The sequence below is a fragment of the Homo sapiens genome, chromosome 21 (assembly GCF_000001405.40).
Source record: "Homo sapiens chromosome 21, GRCh38.p14 Primary Assembly".
NCBI lineage: Eukaryota > Metazoa > Chordata > Mammalia > Primates > Hominidae > Homo > Homo sapiens.
The window spans coordinates 8,099,840-8,108,557 of NC_000021.9; the positions used below are offsets into that span (position 1 = coordinate 8,099,840).

Genomic DNA, 8,718 nt, shown 5'->3' on the forward strand with positions numbered 1-8,718 from the left:
GATCACTTGAGATCAGAAGTTTGAGACTAGCCTAGTGAATATGGCAAAACCCTATCTCTACTAAAAATACAAAAGTTAGCTAGACGTGATGGTGCACGACTGCAATCCCAGCTACTCTGGTGGCTGAGACTGGAGAATTGCTTGAACCTGGGAAGCGGAGCCTGCAGTGAGCACATCTCGCACCCCTGCCCTTCAGCCTGAGTGACTCACTAAAACTCCATCTCCAAAAAAAAAAAAAAAAAAAATGTTGTCAGTACTACTCATGATGATATAAAAATGTAAGGTAATTTTTGTCAAAATCCCAATGGTATTTTTTTTGCAGAATTTTTGTGTATAATTCTAAACGTTGCTTAGGACAGGTGACTAGCCAAACACCCTTTAAAAAGAACAAAGAGGTATTACATTTTCTGATTCAAAATCATGATACAAAGCTACAAAAATAAAAACAATGTGGTATTGCCACAAAAACAGATACATAGATGACGAAACAGAATAGAGATCCCAGAAATAAACCCTTGCATATGTGATAAAATAATCTTCCGTAAGCTTTCCATGACCACACAATAGAAAAATAAGAATCCATTTAACAAAGAGTTTTCCAAATTGAATATTTACAGAGAAAAAAATAAAGTTGGATGCTTCCTTTGTATCATATATAAAAAGAAAAGTTTTTAAAATGAATTCAATACTTAAACATAAAACCTAATAAAATTCTTAGAAGTAAACATAAGGGAAAAGTTTATGACATAAGTCTTAAAACTCTTTCCTTAAGTTTGACATCAAATTCATAAGCAACAAGGAAAAGAACAACGACCAAGAAAAGGGACTACATTAAGCTTCAACTATTCTACACATCAAATAAAACATTTAGTGCCATACAAACGTCACCTAATAAGTGGGTGAAAGCTAGGCATGGTGTCTCATGCCTTTAATTCTACAACTTTAGGAGGCCAAGGCAGAACAATCACTTGAGACCAAAAGTTTGAGACTAGCCATGAAAACATAGCAAGACCCTGTCTTGTATAGGGTTATATATATGCATACATACATACATATAACTAAAAAGAGTAAAAATATTTTCTAATCACATATTTGGTAGGTGTTAATTTTCAAAATATATAAATTCCTAAAACTCAACAACAAAAAAAGTTAATAACTTGATTTAGAATGGCACATGTTTGAAATGACTTTCTCCAAAGAAGACATAGAAATGACTAGGCATTTAAAAGGATACTCGACAACTCTCTTCTAGAAAAATACAAAGAAAAGTCACAATAATCTATCACATCAAACCTATTTTTAAAATAGTATGAAAGCTCTTCAAAAAATTTAAAATGAGATTATTATACAATCCAGCAAACCCCATTCTGGCTATGTATTTAAAATATACAACACATGATCCGGAAGAGATATTTGCACACCCAAATTTATTGCAGCATTACTAACACAAGCCAAAAGGCAGAAACAACCCAGCTGTCCCTTGACCAATGAAGAGATTAACAACAAGTGGCACATACACAAAGTCGAATATTATTCAGTCTTTAAAAAGTCACATTATATGATTATTCTTGAGAATATCACGTTAACTGAAATAAGCCAGGAACAAAGTGACAGTCTATGATTCCATTCATAATCAGGTATCTTAAGTAGACAAACTCATAGAAAAAAAAAGTTAGAATGGTGTTTGTCAAGGACTGAAGAGATGGTAAAATGGGCAATTGTCTTAAAAGACATTTAATGTTAGTTTTGCAAGACATAGAAGTTCTACAGATCTTTTGCATAACTATGTGAATGTACTTAACGCTAATGAAATATACACTTAAAAAGAATTAAAATGGTAAATTTTACATTATGTGTTTTTACCACAATCGCAATTTTTAAAAGGAAAAATATGGACTTATAAAGCTTTCCAAAAATTAAATTTTGTTCACAAAAGATTTTCTCTCACACAAAGGAAGTATAGATTTATAATTAAACACATTGTGAAATTAAGATTATTTCAATGACTATTCATCCACACAAGATAAGACAACCACTGAAAATCAGCCAAAAAATATGGAAGATAAGCCATGAGCAAAGTTGGGGACATATTTATAGAGACAAACACATATATAATTTAATTTTGAAAACGTATGACCGATTTATATTTTAATTAAACCCAACATTAGTTTCCTGAGTGAAATTTGGTTTTCAGTTTGGGCAAATGAAGACCTTTCTGTGGTTAAAAGGATTCTTTCTTCTCCGTTTCTTCATATGGACCTGTGCTGGGGATTGGTCAGCTGTTCAAGTGCAATGCACTCAGTTTTGGTTCTGTGCCAGGATTAAACCTACGATATTTCACATTTCATATATAAACCCCGATGAAGTGTTTCTAGGAGATGGCTGCCTCATAACCTATATTTTGCCAAATGTTTACTATGAATTTCACCACCATCCTCTTGAAGGTGGTATTGTAACTAAAACTCTTCAGGACATTCTACTTAAAACTAAAATCACGTATATCTCAAGAAACTCCTTTCTGATTTGAAATGCCTCTGTCATGTATTGTCTGCAATCAGCCTCCTCTTTAAAAGAAAGTAGAAAGGACAGATGAGGAAACTGATAGTGTTACTGCATGGGAGACAGAGGTGAGGATACACATGGCGGATGAAAACATGGAAGTTATTTCTACAGCACGATCTTGTAAGTGTCTGACTGCTATGCTCCCTTGTATATCAAATGATGTACCTTTATTGCAAGAGAAGATAGTGCGCTGTTTACCTTGACATTGAGAGGCAATTTTGAATCTCTGTCGTGATTGTTTAGGACTGAGGATTTAATGTGCTATTTTGTGGAAATCTTAGAAGCAGTAATGGGATTTAATGATCTTAACTATCATCCTTCTGAAAAATCTAACGCGATTTTAAATAAAATGGCCGGCTGCTTCCACCGTTCCCTTTTTAAACCAGGAGCTGCCGTTGCTTTTAACATTACGAAGTTGAATCTATGAATAGTTTGTACTATTAACATTTTTTTAAAAATCCACATTGACTTGAAGTGTACAGGCAGAGTTGGAAATTATAACATCCAAAGTTATAATACATAAGTAAAACCCAAAATAAAATCAACTGCTGCCCTGGAACCTATTATAAATAATCGAGACAGTAATATGGAATTGTAAAGAAAAATAAGAAACATATTTACTCATAAAATCTTGCAAGCAAAGTTTTTTTCTTTTTTTGAGACAGAGTCTCACTCTGTCACCCAAGCTGAAGTGCAGTGGCGAGACGACGGCTCATTTCAACCTCCGCCTCCTGAGTTCAAACCATTCTCCTGCCTCAGCCTTCACTGAGATTACAAGCACCTGCTACCAGACCAGGCTACCTTGCATATAAACTTGATATATCATTTATGAAAATACTTTTTAGATAACTAAAATATTCTACTGTGACTGTGCATTCATGAAGTTCGGGTATCTTGAATCATTGGCATGCAGTGTGTGACAGTAAAATTTCACAGAAAATACACTGTAACCATTAATAAAAGGCCCTAATAAGAGAATTTTAATGCATAAGAATTGAAAAGACACCATAAATAATTTCCGTTGTATTTTTAATACACTGATGCTATTCTTACACAAAGTAAAAAGGCTGGGTAAGTTGTGGTGGCTCACACCTGTAATTCCAGCAATTTGGGAGGCCGAGGTAGCAGATTGCTTAAGCACAAGAGTTCACAACATGCCTGGGCAGGATAGGGAGACCCTGTCTCTGCAAATAATAATAAACAGCCAAGTGTGTTAATACACATTTGTGGTCCCATCTGCTCAGGAGGCTGAGGCAGGAGAATTGCCTGAGCCTGAGTGGTCAAGGCTAGAGTGAGCTGTGATTATGCATTGCATTCCAGCCCAGGTGACACAGTGAGACCCTGTTTAAAGAAAAAAACAAACAAAAACTAAAAATTAACCAGGAGTAGTGGCATGCACCTGTACTCCCAGCTACTTCAGAAGCTGAAGTTAGAAAATCATTTGAGCCTGAGAGTTTGAGTCTGCAGTGAGCCATAATTGAGCTACTGAACTCCAGTCTGTGTGACAGAGCAAGGCCTTGTCATAGATAGATAGATGATAGATGATAGATAGATAGATAGATAGATGGAATACACCTGGAGAAAGAGTAAATTTTAATGTAGTGTGATGTAATTTTTAAAATAAACTTTATGTGTGTATCACTTAGAAATTTATAGAACAGGCCGGGGGCGGTGGCTCACGCCTCTAATCCCAGCACTCTGAGAAGACGAAGTGGGCAGATCAGGGGGCCGGATATCGAGACCAAGACCATCCTGGCTAACACGGTGAAACCCTGTCTCTACTAAAAATACAAAAAATTAGCCGGGTGTGGTGGCGGGCAACTCTAGTCTCAGCTACTCGGGAGGCTGAGGCAGGAGAATGGCGTGAAACCGGGAGGCAGAGCTTGCAGTGAGCCGGGATCGCGCCGCTGCACTCCAGCCTGGACAACAGAGCGAGAGTCTGTCTCGAAAAAAAAAGAAATTTATACAACTTAGCCAGAAGAATAAAAAACAACCTCTTAACAGTTTTTTCAAATAAAAAAAGTGAGTTTGAAGAGAAGGGAATAAAGGGGACTTTCAGTTTAATGTGTTTTTTATTTTTTGAGTCAGGGTCTCACTTTGTTGCCCACATGGAAGCGCAGTGGTGTGATTTCAGCTCACTGCAAACTTGGCCTCCCAGGCTCAAACAATCCTCCCACCTCAGCCTCCCTAGTAGCTGGGAATACAGGTGTACATCACCACAACTGGTTAATTTTTGTATTTTTGTAGAGAGAGGGTTTTACCATGTTGCTCACACTGGTCTTGAGCTTCTGGGCTCAAACAATTCACCTGCCTTGGGCTCCCAAAGTGCTGGGATTGAGCCACTAGGCCAACCAAGTTTTTTGTTTGGTTTTGTTTTTGAGATGGAGTCTCACTCTGTTGCCCAGGCTAGAGTGCAATGGCACGATCTTGGCTCACTGCACCATTTGCCTCCTGGGTTCAAGTGATTCTCCTGCCTCAGCCTCGTGGGTAGCTGGGATTATAGGCACCCGCCACCGAGACCAGCTAATTTTTGTATTTTTTAGCAGAGATGGGGTTCCACCATGTCAGCTAGGCTGGCCTCAAATTCCTGACCTCATGATCCACCCACCTCGGCCTCACAAAGTGCTGAGATTACAGGCATGAGTCACTGCTCCCGGCGACCAGCCAAGACTTTTACTTTATAAAGATATTTATGATGTTTTCTTTTCTTTTTACAGTACGCATTGCATTTATAATTGGAGATACAAAAAAAGGTGACTGTTACTGTTTGACAGCAAGGCAGTAGTATTATCTTCATCAATATTTGCAACTTAATTCGCAGGAACCTGTAAGAGAAAGCCCAGACAAAACTTTAAGGCAAAGAAGTTACACTTGTAAAAAATGAGAGGACTATTTTTTTATAATAACAAATATTCCAGGTGAGGACTGGTCAGGATCTACCACTGCTCCATCTCACTTGATAAGTCTCATGCCTGCCAGGGTAAGAAGGAGCAGAGAGAAGGACAAATGCCAGTGAGTTTCCTCTCCCACTAAGGATCTGTTTGTCAAGTTTCCTACCATCAAGTGGAAGATGTACTAAAAATAAAATGTACCCTTGCAGATGCTAGCAGAGAGGCACAAAATAGAAAAGGAGGTAAGCCCATATATTGTGGAGAAAGAGATCCAACTTAAGATTCAAAATGCACCAGAAAGCTGTGTAAAGTTAATAAAATTACTCAAAATCTTGGAACATTTGTTTCCTCACCTGTAAAATGGGGATCATGTGCCTACTTCATAAGTTGTTTTGACAGTTAAATTCACAGAGATATTTAATAGAGCCTGCTATGGCAAGTGTTCACATTAACAAAGTAGTATCAAACTTCAAAATATGGGAAAGGTATTTTGAATAATGTCTATGAGGCCAAGGACAACATGCCCAGCTTCACAATCAATCCCAGCCACATTACACTGAGGAGATCTACAGGCAACTATATTTCTTCAACAAATTCCATTAGAGAGGAAGAGTGTGTAGTCTGAAAACATGACACAAATGTGACCAGTGTACAGTGACTTAGGTAGTCGGGGGTGGAATCCCTACATATTCTCTGAATTGCAGCTACACAGTGAGTTCCCAGGAAACAAATGGAATAGAAAAGGTGACACAAAATATACTACCATAAATGGGGTGAGCATAGCAGGTTCACAACCACAAATGTAAGCAGGAGACTCAAATCACCAGGAGCACCTAGATCTGTGAACAGCAGCTTGTGGTGGCATCAGGTTCAACTTTCTGAGACCACCGGTGTGGGCAGTGTCTTTGCAGGCACATACTCGGCAGCAGTGTATCTGAAGACAGATCTCAAGGCTCTTCTCTTCACTAATTATTAAGATGATAGATGATGGATACCCTCACGTTACAACATCCCCACTAACGCTGTGGACAAGTGAATTCAGAAACCCACACCTAAATACACAGTGAAGAGTAGGATGAGAATACTGCAGGATAGGTTAGGAATGCAGGCATTCGACCCCATAGAGTCTATTTAAAATAAGAGAAGGGCCCTAGTATTGTGCTGTGGTCCTCCTATATATAGTTCTTTATTTTTCCAATTTCATAAAGGCCATACAGTTTTTCTTCCTTTCTTCACAAATGTGCTGATGAACCCATGAGTAATTCATCCTGAAGGGGTTAATTCCTCATAAAGTACAGTAACGTGATTCAATTGCTATGATGAGGTTTTTCAGGATTTTTTTATAGTGTCCCATACTCACCGATCACAAGTGAAAATTATAAGAACATGTAATTTGAACAAAGTATTCTTTTCACATAGAGAAATACACAGGTTTATACAGATTAGATGCATCATCAAAGTTGGTAACATCTGGGAACAAAAGGAACTATCCTGAGGACATAAGGAACTTAGGGACGTCGATTATTAAGAGGCTACCTGCAAGTGGAACTTCTGGGTTTTCATTGTCTAGACAGAAAAATTTAACTCATAAGCCCCAGTATATTAAGGTACATCCCCAACGGCTGTGGGGGATCAACTTTCCATCCAAAGCAGAGATGTAAAACATGAATGACTTCAAATGCGGCTCAAGTGCTCTGCACCTTGAAAGTCATCCCCACAAAGCTGGAGCACCACCTGTTCCTGAGGGATGAGGTCACCAACTGCTTTTTTGAGACACTCGTCAGTCAGGACTCAGTTGAGATGAGGCTGGTGATTTCAACTGTAAAATATCTAAACCATCGTCTTTAGGTAGATTCTTATGCCTGGGAATTGTGGTTTTCTCCTCTGCTGTTAGCAGATCCTGAGTAACCCAAGAAATACCCGCTCTCACCCGTCAAGTTCTATATCACAAGAAAGGCGCTGCAGACGGTGACATTTTCACGAAGGAGCCACAGCCCGCATCACCCCCTGAAAGCTCTGAAGTTGCGCACGGGTGGGTCACGCAGCAGGTGGATGTCTCAGTTCCCATAGAGTTTAGCAGAGCAGGCGGCTCCCTGGGCTGGAAGAGGTGCGATGCTCTGGAAACCCCCCGCGGGTGTGTATGTGAGAGGACACCGAGATGTTCAGCGGGCTGTTCAGTGAGGACCAGACCCCTCCGATTTGAGCAAGGGAGGTGCACTTCGCAGGGTCACACCGTCCTCATCGCCCAGCCTAGACCTGCCCCTCAAGTCCTTCTGCGGACTCCCTTGGCGAGGGGGTGGCACAGAATCAGCATGTGGCATCGCTTAGGAAAGGACGAGTCCACACCGCCCTGTCCCTCCCTCCAGGGCTGCGCACCACGGGGTAGGACAGACAGCGCATGCTGGTTTTGTAGTTAGCAGGTCGGCGACCAATGGGCTGGAAACCGTTAAGACACCATAACTCCCAGCACTCCTAGCTAGGGACGCGCCTCCCTATCCTTCGCTTCCATACTACACACCGCCCCCAAACCCAGCGCATGCTGAGATTGTAGTCCGTTAGCCTCGCGACCAATGGGCTGGAAATACTGAAAGGACTATGACTCCCAGGATGCTTTGCGAGGTACCCGCCGTCCCGATCCTTCCTCTAGGGCTGCGCACCGCCCCCAAGCCCAACGCATACTGGGATTGTAGTCAGGTAGTCCTGGGACCAACTGACTGGAAACTGTTAAGAGACCATAACTGCCAGCACGCCTGGCTAAGGACGCACCTCCCTATCCTTCCCTTCAGTGCTACACACCGCCTCGAAGCCCGGTGGCTGCTGGGATTGTAGTCTGCAGGCCGGGGGCCATCGCTGGAAACCGTTAAGAGACCATAACTCCCAGCATCCCTGGCCAGGGACGCGCCTCTCTATCCTTCCCTCCAGCGTTACACACCGCCCCAATCCCGGTGCATGCTGGCATTGTAGTTCGGTAGCCTTGCGATCAACGTGCTGGAAACTGTTTAAGGACTATGACTCCCAGGACGCCTTGCGAGGGACCCACCCTGTTGACCCTTCCTCCAGGGCTGGGAACCTCCCTTAAGCCCAGCGCATGCTGGGATCATAGTCCGACTGCCGCGACAGAAAGGCTGGGAGTGGATCTGAGACTACAGTTCCAACACTACGGGGAAAATTTCATCTTCTCTGAGACTACAGTTCCAACACTGAGGGGATAATTTCATCTTCTCCTCCGCCCCTCCATGTTTCCAGTGCAATTCCGCCCTGCTGA

General features: G+C 41.3%; 1 long non-coding RNA gene across 1 annotated transcript; it reads right to left on the bottom strand.

The window, feature by feature from the left end:
* Positions 1–1,706: 1,706 nt before the first annotated feature.
* Positions 1,707–8,402, bottom strand: LOC124904992 (uncharacterized). Its single transcript, XR_007067802.1, has 2 exons — positions 6,217–8,402; positions 1,707–5,387 (listed from the first exon to the last, which is right to left on the bottom strand). It is a non-coding gene; the product is annotated as an uncharacterized LOC124904992 (long non-coding RNA).
* Positions 8,403–8,718: the final 316 nt, after the last annotated feature.